Raw genomic sequence first — 17,554 nt, 5'->3', positions numbered from 1 at the left:
CCACCCAAATCTCAACTTGAATTGTAGCTCCCATAATTCCCATATGCTGTGGGAGGGACCTGGTGGGAGATAACTGAATCATGGGGGTGGTTCCTCCCATAGAGTTCTCGTGGTAGTGAATAAGTATCATGAGATGTGATGATTTTATAAGGGGAAACCCCTTTCACTTGGCTTTCATTCTCTCTCTTGCTTGCTGCCATGTAAGATGTGCCTTTCACCTTCTGCCATGATTGTGAAGCCTCCACAACCACGTGGAACTTGAGTCCGTTAAACCTCCTTTTCGTTTTAAATCACTGAGTCTTGGATATGTCTTTATCAGCAGCATGAAAACAGATTAATACAATGGTCTATCTGTCTCACATATGTATATGTCTCTTATATAGTATACTATACTATTAATGTCGTTCTTGCTTATAGATATCATATTATTCATTTAACACTTATTTTTCTTTGAAGGAAGGTATGTTTGAATTTATCTCTCCATTAAAAAAAATCAGTATTGAAAGAACTCTACCAGCTCATGAATCCTGTGCCATTCAATTTAATGATCTAGAGATTTTACTCTCCATCCAGAGACAATCTTATGTGTCTTTCCCAACCCACTCTACCTGTATTGGCTGGCATATGATTTTTTAAAATGGAAAATATGGTTTCTTTAGAAGCTATGCTTGGGCCAGATTTCACACATCAATACCAATCGACATTTCAGTTATCAGCAGGGTGATTCTCAACAACTCCAAAAGTCACACCCCTCTTTTGCCAAAAATAAATTTAAAAAAATTGAAATAATGTGAACAAAAGTATTTCCTAACATAGGGCTTCAGTCACCTTTAAAGTACCACATGGAGTTATAACCACATGACCAAATGTTCCTTCCAGTAAATAACTTGCAGCAGAATTGAGTTCTGAGTGTTTGTTTCAACCATGCAGTGCATATGCCATCTGGCACATTTCCCATAAAAATGAAACTGCTTTCATGGCTGAGTAGATGCCAAAATGGAATTGTATAACAGTAATAAGGCCTTTTCTGGTTCATGAATATACCTTAGGTGATGTTTAAAGCATGAAACTATAGGTGATGCTAAAATAGTCATGTTTTCTCTCTTCAGAAGTGAAGCATATCGTGAAGAAAAGGGTGAAGTTGCTCACTTTTATGAGCTTAGATCCTAGATATGATTTTTAATATGGAGAAAAATAATCATAGATAAATTCTTTGTCTATGATTTTTGAAATGTGATTCAAGGCTTTAATTTAAATCTGGGTTTATGCCTCTTCAAAACATCTGGGTGGCGAGGGAAGTAAAAAATTCAGACTAGAGACTGGATTTTTTGACTTCAGAATGCAAAAAAACTTAAATGTCTAGAGGTTTTCTGTTTTGAGAATATATCAAGCACTAGATGATTGACAGAAATCCCCCTTCATTTCCATTACTTTAATGTCATGCTGCCAAATCCCAAGCTAAGATGACTCCTTTTCTACCTTCCCTAAGTGCTCTATACACCTTAAGAAAATGAACCTTCCCGATGCTAACCTCCAGGGTGCTGATGTAGGTTTAAGAAATTTTAGAACGCTGTATCAATTCCAGAGGAACATATCACATTGATTGAGGAATTGCCAGGGATGGGAATAAACCTTCATAGTTAAAGATATTTGTAGAAAATGTTGTGCATTTCTGCCATGTTGTACAATCTAATGGTATATTCTCCTCTGTCTATAATAATTTACATTCTGGCAAATTTGGGATCCAACATTTGTCATGATTGATGTTCAGCTTTATACTAGAGTGTTCTGTTAATACATCTTTATGTATCTCATACATACTTGCATTCTTTCCAGCATACTTTTAGGCCCAGTAGAGTTTAGTAATAAAACTTTCCCTATGTTATCAGCACCAATATCTATAGCATCAAAGCAATTTTCAAATCATTCTAGTCATTTATTCCAAGAGCTTGCTGTAGTACCAACATAAATGCAATCAGAAATGGGCACGCCTTTACCTTTCTGGTCAACCTGCCTCCAATGTATACATACTCGTCCCTTTGCATGCAGTTGCAAAGTCATTAATATCTGAAACAGCACATTCTTATATGACATTGTGGAAGTTTGTGTCATATAGCTGTGAAAGATGCTTGGAAACTTACCCTTGCAAACCAGGTTTCTTATTTGCTTCATAGTCGAACACTGAGAAGCTTGTTGAGAGATTGCCCCACAACACGTATTTGTTTCTTTCAAGAGAGGATATTTCACCCCTATGCCTGCAGGCATTTTCTGGTACCTGTTGCTGGAGAGAGCTGCACATGCTGGTTCTCTCCAGCACTTGTCCACACAGTGTTTGAGACTGTAAACATTATTAAAAATGTCTCTGAGCCGAATACAAATGGACTGAGGCTTTTCTAAACTGGCAATCAAATTTCAAACTGTATGAAGCAACTGGGCTGTGGGTGAGTAAAGAATGGGAATTTAGTAAATGTTCTGTAGGAATTGGCTTAACTCTCAGAGGTCTTTGAAAAACTATCGCTTGAACTTTATTATTATTATTATTTATCATACTTTAAGTTTTAGGGTACATGTGCACAACATGCAGGTTTGTTACATATGCCATGTTGGTGTGCTGCACCCATTAACTCGTCATTTAACATTAGGTATATCTCCTAATGCTATCCCTCCCCCCTCCCCCCACCCCACAACAGGCCCCGGTGTGTGATGTTCCCCTTCCTGTGTCCATGTGTTCTCATTGTTCAATTCCCACCTATGAGTGAGAACATGCGGTGTTTGGTTTTTTGTCCTTGCGATAGTTTGCTGAGAATGATGGTTTCCAGCTTCATCAATGTCCCTACAAAGGACATGAACTCATCCTTTTTTATGGCTGCATAGTATTCCATGGTGTATATGTGCCACATTTTCTTAATCCAGTCTATCATTGTTGGACATTTGGGTTGGTTCCAAGTCTTTGCTATTGTGAATAGTGCCACAATAAACATACGTGTGCATGTGTCTTTATAGGAGCATGTTTTATAATCCTTTGGGTATATACCCAGTGATGGGATGGCTGGGTCAAATGGTAGTTCTAGTTCTAGATCCCTGAGGAATCACCACACTGACTTCCACAATGGTTGAACTAGTTTACAGTCCCACCAACAGTGTAAAAGTGTTCCTGTTTCTTCACAGCCTCTCCAGTGCCTGTTGTTTCCTGACTTTTTAATGATCGCCATTCTAACTGGTGTGAGATGGTATCTCATTGTGGTTTTGATTTGCATTTCTCTGATGGCCAGTGATGACGAGCAATTTTTCATGTGTCTTTTGTCTGCATAAATGTCTTCTTTTGAGAAGTGTCTATTCATATCCTTTGCCCGCTTTTTGATGGAGTTGTTCGTTTTTTCTTGTAAATTTATTTGAGTTCATTGTAGATTCTGGATATTAGCCCTTTGTCAGATGAGTAGATTGCAAAAATTTTCTCCCATTCTGTAGGTTGCCTGTTCACTCTGATAGTAGTTTCTTTTGCTGTGCAGCAGCTCTTTAGTTTAATTAGATCCCATTTGTCAATTTTGGCTTTTGTTGCCATTGCTTTTGGTGTTTTAGACATGAAGTCCTTGCCCATGCCTATGTCCTGAATGGTATTACCAAGGTTTTCTTCTAGGGTTTCTATGGTTTTAGGTCTAACATGTAAGTCTTTAATCCATCTTGAATTAATTTTTGTATAAGGTGTAAGGAAGGGATCCAGTTTCAGCTTTCTACATATGGCTAGCCAGTTTTCCCAGCACCATTTATTAAATAAGGAATAGTTTCCCCATTTCTTGTTTTTGTTGGGTTTGTCAAAGATCAGATAGTTGTAGACATGCGGCATTATTTCTGAGGGCTCTGTTCTGTTCCATTGGTCTATATCTCTGTTTTGGTACCAGTACCATGCTGTTTTGGTTACTGTAGCCTTGTAGTATAGTTTGAAGTCAGGTAGCATGATGCCTCCAGCTTTGTTCTTTTGGCTTAGTATTGACTTGGCAATGCGGGCTCTTTTTTGGTTCCATATGAAATTTTAAGTAGTTTTTTTTCCAATTCTGTGAAGAAAGTCATTGGTAGCTTGACGGGGGTGGCATTGATCTATAAATTACCTTGGGCAGTATGGCCATTTTCACGATATTGATTCTTCCTACCCATGAGCATGGAATGTTCTTCCACTTGTTTGTATCCTCTTTTATTTCATTGAGCAGTGGTTTGTAGTTCTCTTTAAAGAGGTCCTTCACATCCCTTGTAAGTTGGATTCCTAGGTATTTTATTCTCTTTGAAGCAATTGTGAATGGGAGTTCACTCATGATTTGGCTCTCTGTTTGTCTGTTATTGGTGTATAAGAATGCTTGTGATTTTTGTACATTGATTTTGTATCCTGAGACTTTGCTAAAGTTGCCTATCAGCTTAAGGAGATTTTGGGCTGAGATGATGGGGTTTTCTAGATATACAATCATGTCATCTGCAAACAGGGACAATTTGACTTCCTCTTTTCCTAACTGAATACCCTTTATTTCCTTCTCCTGCCTGATTGCCCTGGCCAGAACTTCCAACACTATGTTGAATAGGAGTGGTGAGAGAGGGCATCCGTGTCTTGTGCCAGTTTTCAAAGGGAATGCTTCCAGTTTTTGCCCATTCAGTATGATATTAGCTGTGGGTTTATCATAGATAGCTCTTATTATTTTGAGATACGTCCCATCAATACCTAATTTATTGAGAGTTTTTAGCATGAAGCGTTGTTGAATTTTGTCAAAGGCCTTTTCTGCATCTGTTGAGATAATCATGTGGTTTTTGTCGTTGGTTCTGTTTATATGCTGGATTACGTTTATTGATTTGCATATGTTGAGCCAGCCTTGCATCCCAGGGATGAAGCCCACTTGATCATGGTGGATAAGCTTTTTGATGTGCTGCTGGATTAAGTTTGCCAGTATTTTCTTGAGGATTTTTGCATCGATGTTCATGAGGGATATTGGTCTAAAATTCTTTTTTTGTTGTGTCTCTGCCAGGCTTTGGTATCAGGATGATGCTGGCCTCATAAAATGAGTTAGGGAGGATTCCCTCTTTTTTTATTGATTGGAATAGTTTCAGAAGGAATGGTACCAGTTCCTCCTTGTACCTCTGGTAGAATTCGTCTGTGAATCCATCTGGTCCTGGACTTTTTTTGGTTGGTAAGGTATTAATTATTGCCTCAATTTCAGATCCTGTTATTGGTCTATTCAGAGATTCAACTTCTTCCTGGTTTAGTCTTGGGAGGGTGTATGTGTCGAGGAATTTATCCGTTTCTCCTAGATTTTCCAGTTTATTTGAGTAGGGGTGTTTATAGTATTCTCTGATGGTAGTTTGTATTTCTGTGGGATCGCTGGTGATATCTTCTTTATCATGTTTTATTGTGTCCATTTGATTCTTCTCTCTTTTCTTCTTTATTAGTCTTGCTAGCAGTCTATCAATTTTGTTGATCTTTCAAAAAACCAGCTCCTGGATTCATTGATTTTTTGAAGGGTTTTTTGTGTCTCTATTTCCTTCAGCTCTGCTCTGATCTTAGTTATTTCTTGCCTTCTGCTAGCTTTTGACTGTGTTTGCTCTTGCTTCTCTAGTTCTTTTAATTGTGATGTTAGGGTGTCAATTTTAGATCTTTCCTGCTTTCTCTTGTGGGCATTTAGTGCTATAGATTTCCCTCTACACACTGCTTTGAATGTGTCCCAGAGATTCTGATATGTTGTGTCTTTGTTCTCGTTGGTTTCAAATAACATCTTTATTTCTGCCTTCATTTTGCTATGTACCCAGTAGTCATTCAGGAGCAGGTTGTTCAGTTTCCATGTAGTTGAGTGGTTTTGAGTAAATTTCTTAATCCTGAGTTCTAGTTTGATTGCACTGTGGTCTGAGAGACAGTTTGTTATAATGTCTGATCTTTTACATTTGCTGAGGAGTGCTTTACTTCCAACTGTGTAGAACTATTTTGGAATAGCTGTGGTGTGGTGCTGAAAAGAATGTATATTCTGTTGATTTGGGGTGGAGAGTTCTGTAGATATCTATTAGGTCCACTTGGTGCAGAGCTGAGTTCCGTTCCTGGGTATCCTTTTTAACTTTCTGTCTCATTGATCTGTCTAATGTTGACAGTGGGGTGTTAAAGTCTCCCATTATTATTGTGTGGGAGTCTAAGTCTCTTTGTAGGTCTCTAAGGACTTGCTTTATGAACCTGGGTGCTCCCGTATTAGGTGCATATATATTTAGGATAGTTAGTTAGTTCTTGTTGAATTGATCCCTTTACTATTATGTAATGACCTTCTTTGTCTCTTTCGATTTTTGTTGGTTTAAAGTCTGTTTTATCAGAGGCTAGGATTGCAACCCCTGCCTTTTTTTGTTTTCCATTTGCTTGGTAGATCTTCCTCTATCCCTTTATTTTGAGCCTATATGTGTCTCTGCACGTGGGATGGGTTTCCTGAATACAGCACACTGATAGGTCTTGACTCTTTATCCAATTTGCCAGTCTGTGTCTTTTAATTGGAGCATTTAGCCCATTTACATTTAAGGTTAATATTGTTATGTGTGAATTTGATCCTGTCATCATGATGTTAGCTGGTGATTTTGCTCGTTAGTTGACGCAGTTTCTTCCTAGCCTTGATGGTCTTTACAATTTGGCATGTTTTTGCAGTGGCTGGTACTGGTTGTTCCTTTCCATGTTTAGTGTTTCCTTCAAGAGCTCTTTTAGAGCAGGCCTGGACTTTAGACTAACTGTTCTTTCTTCCATAACATTCTATGCAGGAAGGAGATAGTATTCTTCAGCTTGTAGCGTTTAGAAAAGAGTGAAACATTGTGTAAGGCTTCTTGCCTAGGCATTTATAGCTGGACATGAAAAATGGCAATGCCAACTTTTTAGTAATTTAGTTACAAGCTTGTCATACATATCTGACTTCTGGTTATCACTCTCGAGTTTTTTAGTTCAATTAGGTTTTCAGGGTATAACGATTACAGCTGATTTGCAGAGCCTGGTCATTATGTCGTTTTTCTAGGATTCTATCCATTTTAGAAAATCTATTCCATTCATGTGAACAGAAATGATCCTGCTTAAAAGCAGGAGCACTGAGAGTCCATTATACGTATGCAGAGAGCTACCATTTTGCCTCCTTTGGTAACTTGGGGGTGGCTTTGTAGATGAAATGCCCAGCATAAAGTTGATCCTTTGGGGATGGCATCATATCTGTGAATCTGTAGATCGCCGTGTAGATGAAATGGCTGGGTTTTCAGCTAATTTGTACTGATGGAATCACATCCACCTGAGCACCAGAAAAATCTAATTGTGGACAGAAGAGAGTAGGCATGTAATATACAATGTGGCATGAACTGAAAGTGATTTAGCAGTGAAAACTATTTACTTATTATTTTCCCTGCCACCTCCTCAACTGATATGCTGCATTAAAGATAAGCTTGGGCTAATCTGCTAGGATTGATAAAGAGTTTTCCAATTCTGAAGACTGCATCAGAGCCTCATTCACTAGCATTTACAAATTTTAGATTCAGTATCTCAAAATGTGCAGGGAGTGTGGGAGATGAAACAGATTGCGGAGGTGGAGTATTGCTTGAATTTTGTCAGCACAACAACTAAATAAGGGCATAAGAAGAGAGAACCACTGTCAAACCATTCAGTGATATACAGAAACTCAAATCTCTATATGTCAATCTCTTGGCATTTGGCACAAAAATTATTTTCTAGTGGGCTGAATCTTTCATTTTTTTAAACCAGATGTTTTAGAGATGTGTATTCCCAGAATTAGACTAAAGTTTCCAAATATCATTGTAGGCTTTCTACCAACTATTATTAAATATGTCATTATTCATTTATTCACTCATTCGGTTAACAAATGTGTATTGAGCACTTAACCAACAACTATTTCCAATGCTGGAGATCTGCTGGTGAATAAGTCACACTGGTCCCTTCTGTCTTGGAGCTCACACTCTGAATAAAAGGAGCCTCCAGGGGGGAATTTTTGTTCTGAGAGGATGCTTGATAAGCTAACCTCTAGAAATACTCTCTTCTCTAACATTCTATTTGGTAGTAATCTGGGATAGCCAGCTTTGCATGCATAATTCTATTAATCCCTAATTTTGTTGAGTACTTTATATTTACTCTAAAAAGTAGTTTTATATGTGTTTTCCCATTTGTGCCTAATCTGCTCTTTAATCCATTTGTTGATTTTGTAATTTCAGTTTTTAAAATATTTGTTTGATTTTTTTCTAGAAGCTTTATTTAATTCTTTCCCAAGTATGTTTCATTATTTTCAGTCTACTGTTTCTATTATACTTGAGACAGATACTTTAGTTTTTATAACTGCATTAAGGATAATTATTTAGGCTACCCATTTGATAATCCTAATATTGGCAGTCTTTCTGAGTCTGTTGTTTTTGTTTTCTGTGAACACATGTTTTATGGAACATAACCTGTAGGAGTTTTTTTGAGGACCAGTTTTAAGTTGCTTTCCTCTAAAGTTAATTTTCTTTTGTTTATGAAAAGTAAACACTAAGTTCAAACTAACTTCTAAGCTTTATATCCTCCCCACTATACTAGTAGTGTATATTCTGGCTATAACCCAAGTGAGTTCCAGTTTGTAAACATAAATTTTCAGGGAAACTTTTCTACCTCCCAATTTCTTTCACCCAGAGTTGAGATGAGAGCAAGTGTCCTCCTTGTCTTCTTTAACAGACTCCCCGCCTTGGTTTATCTCCTCTCACTGAGGTTCTTGTGTTCTGCAGGAGCTGGCTTGATGTGAGATTGTCCTCTAAAGCTGTAACATCCTTCCCTCAGGTCTTTACTGGTTTTTGTATCATCATGCTTCAATTCGGGTGTTACCTCTTTAAAAAGTTCTGCCCTGACTGTGGGAAGTACACTTCCTGGTCATGTGATCCTATCTTATTGTCTTTATGCCCTTATTCGTTCCTGACACTAGCTAGTTATCTAACTGATTAATTTTTCTATATTTTTGTCAACTCTCCCCATCAAGACTATCAACCCCAGGAGTGTGGGGCTATCCTTTTTTGTTCGTTGTTGCTTCCCCAGTGCCAGAGATGGTGCTTGGCCCTGGAGGAATTTATACTGAATGATTAAAGGGCCATAAGCTTTGGCTGGTTCTTAGTTCTCTCCAAAGTTTAAAGTCCTGTCTGGTTCTTAGCTCTCTCCAAAGTTCATGAAAGAAGTATGAAGAAAGAAAGAAAATATGAAGACTCAATGAGTTACATATGAGATGTCCCATGATATACTAGGGTGTTGCCTCCTCTTCCTTTCCTCCTTTTCTGGTCTTAGAGCTAAGTTTCTGTTCCTCTTTCTATCTCTTGGTGGGCTGATCTCAGTTTGTAACTTTGACCTATAGCAATAAACCTGCAGCTGTGCTTACTTGCTTACTTGCTTTCTTATCTCTTTATGGCAGCTTCCATATCTGATCCTAGGTCCCCAACTTGAATCTTCCTGTTTTTGACCCTTGCTATGCTTTGCCTTGATCCTCCCTCATTAGAAAAAAAAAAAAAAAGTAAAAAATAAATTTAAGAGGAAAAACAAAAACAAAATCGGCCTTTTTGTCAAATACTTTAAAATACAAGCATATTCATTATTAAAGCAGCATAATCTCATTTAAGCAAATGCTGAAAATAAATAGAAATATAGATAAAAAAATCACTACAGTCCAGCTACCTAGTCACAGTTACCGTATATTTCTTTTTACACATGCTTAGTTTTATTTTTATACAAGCTTAATTTTATTTTTCCCACTATATATATACAATTATAGCATATATACAATTTTGAATACTGATTTTTAAAAATTGTTATTTTATCTTTAAAAATGTGTTTAAATATAATCTGTGATGGCTGTATAATATTCCAGCTAATGAATATATAGTTTGCTAAGCCTTTGATCTATACTGAATGTTTGCACTGTTTCATAAGTCACATTTTAATAAAAAATTTGTAGACCTATTACATGAGTCAGATCATGTATCATGTTGAATCACACCCCTGGGAAGTGAAACAATCTAGCAAAATCTGTTACTAGTTGAGGCCAGAGTTGCCTGTGGGACACTTTTAGGGAACTACCTGGGAGGCAGGCTGAGGACTGAGATGGTCACATATGCTGAGCTGACTGTGTGAGACATAGGCATATGCAGAGAGTCTTCCTCTATAAAGATTCATTTGCGAGATGCAATCACAGAGTACAGTAGAAATTCATTCTTCGGGGCAAGGGAAACATATCTATACTTTCCTGAGCAAAATTTTGTAGTCTAGACAAATTCCAAAATTCCAATCTATTGTAATGTTCAAATGCAAATAAAACTAAAACTAAAAGTAACTGCAAATTCCTTTTTTTGTCACTAGTAAGATCCACAAGTGTTATGTTCATACTTGCAAACTTGTCAAGGAATGCAACATTTTAAAGTAACATTACTTCTGTAACAGGGACATCATTGTTGCTTGAATGTTCATTTAAAAAGTAAAGATTTATGATTCTTAAAAGTGTGAGATTAGGTTTGGCACTGATTCTCCTTTGTGTGGTACATCTATTTCAGTGACTAAACTTCATGGGAAGCACATTGTGAGAGTAAGATTAGATTTGTTTATATTTATCTTGGGAATGTTCTTAAGGGTGCCATAAGTAAACATGAGTTCTTAAAAATGAAATCATTTTAGTATTTCTCTGAAGCTCTGCTAAAAAGTAGAAAAATTAATTCTAGAGAAAGCAATAATTTGGTCCTGATGGACAAAAAGGAATACAATTATGTATTATGAAATATCTTTGCTATACCGACACGGAAGTGACATCATATTCCTTTTAAAATACCCTTCCGGAGTAGTATAAATGAAAACATATTTCCTTCTGACTTCTTTCCTTTTCACTGCACTTTACCCTGGCTTTGGTCTTTCTGCTCTTATCTGCCATTTCTTTTGTCCCTTCTTCTCCCCTCAACCCTGTCACTTTGATCTGCATTTCCTCACAATCTCCACTCCATTCTTCTTTAATTTGAAACTTCCTGCTTTATTTCTCTAGCAGCTTTATTCTACTGCACTTGAATCCTCTCTTTGAGTCAAATAGTCACATTGACTGTTAAAAAGGAAAACAATGTCAGATGTTGCCCTCTGCCCATAAAGAACAAAAACCACAGATTGAAGTATTAAAAACTTTTTTCATCTTAAGAAGAGTTTTGCTAGATGTCTTTGACTGGTGTTTTTTTTTTTTCCATAGACTATCTGATTTTGAAGAATAAAAAAAGATGGTAAAACATAGTACTGTTTACACTTATTGATATTTTTATTTAAACAGCTTCTCATTGAGTGAGTAAACTTACAGATCTGACTTCTCTATTATATTAAGGGAGCAGACTGATTAGGTTCGATCAATCATGAAGGAATGAGATGACACCTGAGATAGTCCTTTGAAAGTTAAATAATAAATAATACCTGATATCAGGGATGGCACTTATGTGTCACTCATATTCCCACTCCTGAGCTTGGCCATGGCCCACATTCCTTCTAAGCTTTACAGGTAGTTATTGTAATTTAACTAGATGTGTTCCTTGAGTTGAAATTAATTTGTCCTCTTTGCTTTAGACTGTATACCTCATGACCTCCAATTTCACAGCTGGTATGGCACATACAACCTATGAGTTAGGTCTTATTTTAAGAATTTTACGGGAACTAGTTTTGAGACTCAGAAGGATTTAAGTAACTCACCAAGGTCACATAGCTGGTAATAGAAATAATTCAGGTCTTCTGACGGCAAGATCAGAATCCTGTTTTCTATATCCCAGTTGCTGAAAAAGCTAAGCGACTGAGCTAAGTGTGCCTCAGATATCTCCTAAAGAAATAGCTAGCAAATGGTGAAAGAATAATCCAATTGTGTTAGGGAAAAGTCTTGTCCCAGAGTCACAGCAAGGTTAAGTAAAATGGGCCACCATCTACTTGGGGTGCATAGGAAATACCAAAAAAGAAACCTAATATTTCCCTGAAACTCCATCCCCCATCAATGCATACTCTTTGCATATATACCTCACCTTCGTAATTTCTGGAATCACACACACACACACACAGACACACACACACACACACACACATATATAGAGAGAGAGATTTTGGAGACTGACTTCCTTCCTTCCTTCCTTCCTTCTTCCTTCCTTCCTTCTTCCTTCCTTCCTTCCTTTCCTCCCTCCCTCCCTCTCTCCCTCTCTCCCTCCCTCCTCTCTTCTTTCTTTCTTTGTTTCTATGTTTCTTTCTTTCTTTCCTTTCTTTCTTTTTCTTTGTTTCTATGATTCTTTCTTTCTTCCTTTCTCTTTCTCTCTTTCTTCTTTCTTTCTTTTCTTTCTCTCTCTCTCTTTCTTCTTTCTTTCTTTTCTTTCTTTCTTTCTGTCTCTTTCTTTCTTTCTTTCTTCTTTCCCTTCCTCCCTCCCTTCTTCCTTTCTTTAGTCTCTTCCCTCCCTTCTTTCTTTACCTTCTTCCCTCCCTTCTTTCTTTACTTCCTTATTTCCTTTTATCTTTCTCTTTGTTTACCTCCCTCCTTCTTCCTTCCTGCCTTCATAAAAAATCTAGCCACCATTCATGAACCAAGAACCAAATTCATAGTACTTGATGGAAATGGGTATATCAGATTGTTTACTGTTACATTAGAAATCCACAACAGCAACTTAAGGGAGGGAAAGAATCAGAAAAGGGACATTATTTTAAAACTGGGTTGGGGGGTGGTTACTGAAAGAGCCGGTGTATATCTGAGTGACTTAACCCAAACGCCCATCAATGATAGACTGGATAAAGTAAATGTGGCACATATACACCATGGAATACTATGCAGCCATAAAAAAGGATGAGTTCATTTCCTTTGCAGGGACATGGATGAAGCTGGAAACCATCATTCTCTGTAAAGTAACAGAGAACCAAATACCACATGTTCTCACTCATGAGTGGGAGTTGAACAATGAGAATACATGGAAACAGGGAGGGGAACATCACACACCAGGGCCTGTCGGCGTGTGGGGTGCTACAGGAGGGAGAGCATTAGGAGAAATACCTAATGTAGATGACAGGTTGATGGGTGCAGCAAACCACCATGGCATGTATATACCTATGTAACAAACCTGCATGTTCTGCACATGTATCCCAGAACTTAAAGTATAATAAAAAATAAATAAATAAATAAATAAATAAATAAATAAATAAATAAAAAGGCCACTGTAATGCATGTAAGAGTCATGGAGTTTTCGAGTTTAAAAGAGACTGGCCCTACAGCAATCCAGTGAAGATTCTCCACTCCTGATCCTTTTTTCCTCTTCTATGTCCCCATTTCCTTCTGCTCTTCTCACACAGTAAATAGCAAAAAAACACTACTTTTTCCAAACTATCTGGGCAGAGATTTTCCCCTCTAGCATTTAGAGTAAATGTTTATTGGATTAAGAAGTTATTTGACTCTGCAATGGTGTTGATAATTTATTTAAAAAAATTGACAGGAATAATGACTACCTAAGGCTGCAAAATATCCTATACATTATATTTTATGCTAATGAGTCAGTACTATTTTCATGTAATTTAATGAATCTTTTATCAAACATTATTTGTATAAATGGGTTGTTTAAAATCAATTATGTGAAAATTAAGGTCCTTTCTGCATCTCATTCTCCTTGAAATCAACAAATTTGGAAATCAATATCTATATTATTCATCATCTTCTCTTAAAGAGATGGAAACTAAAATCTAATTTTAGAAGATGAGATTCGCTAATTGATCCCTTGAGTAAACTATTGAGGAAATCAGAATACAAATAGTCTTAAAAATGACATGTAATATTCATTTATGAAAATAAGTATTATCCATAACTCTATTATGTATTTTAAGAACTCATATTATTCATTCCTATAGCTTTGAAACTCTTTCAAAGTAAATATCATATTTGTATATATTAATGGGAAATCAGAATTAAATATTCTTTTGGAAATAAATAATTGTTAGGCTTTCCCAGATTTACAGATACTAACACAAGAAGACAAAATCCAAGGCTTTGCATGCTCATGAGTGCATCTAAGTCTTTTATTTCTGGGAGACTGAACAATATCGAGTGACAGGTCGTAAGGGAGCAAATGTTTATTGTGTTTGTTCAAGGTCCTTAGCTGGCGAGTTGGCACATATTCCTCAGAATGAGAAATGTCTTCATCTCTCCCAGAGGAGATTCCTGTTCTTAAAGAGCAGAGGCAAGAGAAGTAAATATGCAATATGCACAGGTAATTGGAGAGCCGCAAAACTAATGCTTTAGACAGCAGATAGGTCAGTAGATGTTTCTTTTGTTGACGAACAGCCTGGATTTTCTCTTTATTTTCTATATCCCTTGGGAAAAACAAAAACAAAGACAAAAGCATACCCAAGCTACAGCTGCTGAAGTGTCTTCTTGATCAAATTGAGAGTTTGTGTTCTTATTTTCAAGACTCTCTAGCTTTCTATGGAGAGGGTCTGTAAAGCAGATGTTCTGGTATAAATCCATGTGCCTGGAATTATTTTACTCCCTCTGGTAAGTCATCCTTCTCCAATCCCTTTCCAGGATGTACTCCTTTTCAGAAATGTGAACACATTTGAACACTATATATTGGGGAAAGCAGAAGGCACCAGCAGTAGAGCATTTCCATGCAGTCTCCAATGCCCATATCCTTAATCTTTAAAATGAACAAGTCTTCAAACTGAGCTAATAAAAAAATGAGTTCACAGAAAATTATCTCACAGTGAAAGAAAGGAAAAGTAAGGAAAGTCCTTGAGTTGCAAAGTAACATATAAGGTACTTTAGGACAACATCTAGAACTGGTCTGTTTTCAAGGAGCTGCTGTGACCTCCCTGATACTCTCTGTGCCTTCCAGGCACTTTCAGCAGAAGGGGCATGAGATGACAGCTGCCATCATTTGCTCCTCTCTGGCGGATTGATGAGAAAAGTATGTCCTGCCTATCCCTGGTTTTGCCATACCAGCAGCCTTGCCATTCCTCGGCTCACACTACCATTCCAGTCTCATATAATCCAATTTTTAAAAGAATTTTTCTTTAGGGAATATAATGAAGAGTGTCTCCTGAAAAAGTTAGAACTCGTGGGAACAAAAGTACTCTCTTAATTGGCCAGATGCACTTCTCACTTGCTAGACAACGATCTGATTCTTAATTTCACTTGCACAGCATGGCTGTTGCCACTGTCTGCCGGGTGCCCTGGAAAACCTAATTAGGCACACAGGGGTGAACATTTTACTTTCAGTCAAGGGAATATTCCTTCTGGATAAATCACTGTGGGGCCCTGAAAAATAATTGTGTTTGGCTTGATTTTAAAAGAACTGAATGAGCCCTCAGGTTGTTGGATTTCATGTGATACTTTAACACAGAATACAATCTACTAGATATATTATGGGAAATCTCTTTTGTGAGGGCAATTTTAAAAAAAGTGTTATAAACAACAAGGTTCTGTTTGACTAAAATTAGAGGGTAGCTATGTATCCTCTCTCACTTTTCTGTAGTTCCCTTTATATGATGAAAGAAATCGATCTTCCCCCTTCTCTTCTTGTAAGACTGAATGTTTTGCAAATGGTACCATCTGTTCAGCAGGAGATACTCAGGACACATATTTTTTGAAAACCTAGCTGGTATCTTTATTTGCCCAAATCTTACTGTATATTCATTTCATGTGAGTTTCTTCCATAGGAGTGGGTACTTAGGGAGAGCTATAGTTATGCCTGGCCGCAGAAACTTTCTAATCTAATTCACTTTGTCTGCTTAGGACTCATCCTTCTCTTGTGCGGCTACAGGCCCTGTTTGCTAGCCCCTGACTTCTCTAGCCTTGCTCAGCTGTGGTTAGAGAAAGCCTCTTTCCCTAGGCTTGGCCCTACCAAGCATCTGATCGGTGCTGAGCAGACTAAAGAACACGTGGGGTTTCCAGCTAACTCTGGGCCTCCAGCAATAGGCAGAGTCCAGGGTTAGCTATGTTTATGTAGTCTGATATTTACTGTGACTGAAGTAAACTCACAGCTGCATCTTCACAGAGCCTGGCCTTCACTAATCCTGGTCTGGTCTCAGGTTCTGGTTTAGTATTTCAGTTCTCCTGCAGGAACTGGAAGGCTGATTCAACTCTAGTGTGCTTAGATAGTGCTCTCAACTTCTCTGGTCCTGCTGATCATCTCCCTGAGAAACATGGACTTTGTCCTCACCATACTCTAGCCCAGATCTCAGTTAGTTGGTTTCCACGTCCTGTTTTTCTGCACTGAATGACAATGTTTTCATACTACTTGCCTTCATGTATTGCCTGGAACCCATGTTTATGCCTTTAAGCTTGTGTATTAAACAGAATTGACTTTAGATTTTGATGACAAACTTTCTCAAACCCAAGTTTACCTACCCTCAGACAACTGTGCTGGGCAGGTGGATAATCTTACTCAGCTTTTCAGGCTGGTTTCAAGTCATTTGCTCTTGTTTCTCATGTCAAATTCTGTCATCCCAGTGTGCCTGGAAGCCATACTCTTCTAGCTTTACTAATTCTTAATTTTTTTTTGTTTTCACTCCTGATATTGCCTCAATGTCTGTATGAGATTGATGGTGGAATGGCTGGTGATGAGGGAGGAAAGAGGACAGATGCATTTAATGATTTTATCCAAAGAGCATCACAAAGAATAAGAGAAAATGGCTGACTAGACACAGCCAGAAGGACCTCCCAGCTGGGACACTGGGAAGACTGCTACCCACACTCCAAGCAGATATTCAGAAGGAAGGCATCAAGAATGGATGGAGGGAGGACACAGATGCTAGGCTGAAGTGGGAGGAAATGAGGAACCCAAAAGGGGCTACCAAGCACCAGGATTTGTTTCTGACCCCTAATGAACACCGAGGAAGGGAGAATCAAAGAAGATAAAAGCAAAAAAATCCCATCCAAAGGATAGCAACTTCAAAGACTGAAGGAATTTCATCCCACGCAGATAATAAAGATCCAGTACAAGAACTCTGGCAACTCAAAAAGCCAGAGTGTCTTCTTAGTGCCAAACAACTGCACTAGTTCCCCAGCATTGGTTTTACTAGGCCAAAATGGCTGAAATGACAGAAATAGAATTCAGAATATGGATAGGAATGAAGATCATTGAGATTCAAGAGGAAGCTGAAACCTAGTCCAAGAAATCTAAGGAACACAATACAATGACATAGGAGCTGAAAGACAAATTTTAGACTTTAAGAAATAACAAAGCTGTTAGAACTGAAAAACTCACTTCAAGAATTTCAGAATTCGGTCACAGGTATTAACAGCAGAATGGACCAAGGTGGGAAAAGAATCTCAGAACTTGAAGAATGGTTCTCCAAAATAGCTCAGTCATACAGAAATAAAGAAAACACAATAAAAGAATGAACAAAATTTATGAGAAATATGGAATTACATAAAGAGACCAAATATATAATTCACTGACATCCCTGAAAGAGAGGGAGAGAAAGAAAACAACTGAAAACATGTTTTAGAATATCATCCATGGAAATTTCTCCAACCTCACTAGAGAGGCCAACATTCAAATTCAGGAAATGCAGAGA

At 37.6% G+C, this 17,554-nt stretch overlaps 1 annotated feature.

Moving 5' to 3' along the window:
• Positions 9,379-9,428: an enhancer, noted in NCBI's record as "active region_15574". NCBI's record gives its function as "activates an Ori minimal core promoter by ATAC-STARR-seq in GM12878 lymphoblastoid cells {active_cell/tissue: GM12878}" and the evidence as "EXISTENCE:reporter gene assay evidence [ECO:0000049][PMID:35858748]".

The sequence above is a fragment of the Homo sapiens genome, chromosome 2 (genome assembly GCF_000001405.40).
Source record: "Homo sapiens chromosome 2, GRCh38.p14 Primary Assembly".
In the NCBI taxonomy this organism is placed as follows: Eukaryota; Metazoa; Chordata; class Mammalia; order Primates; family Hominidae; genus Homo; species Homo sapiens.
This window is presented reverse-complemented; position numbering and strand designations above follow the sequence as displayed.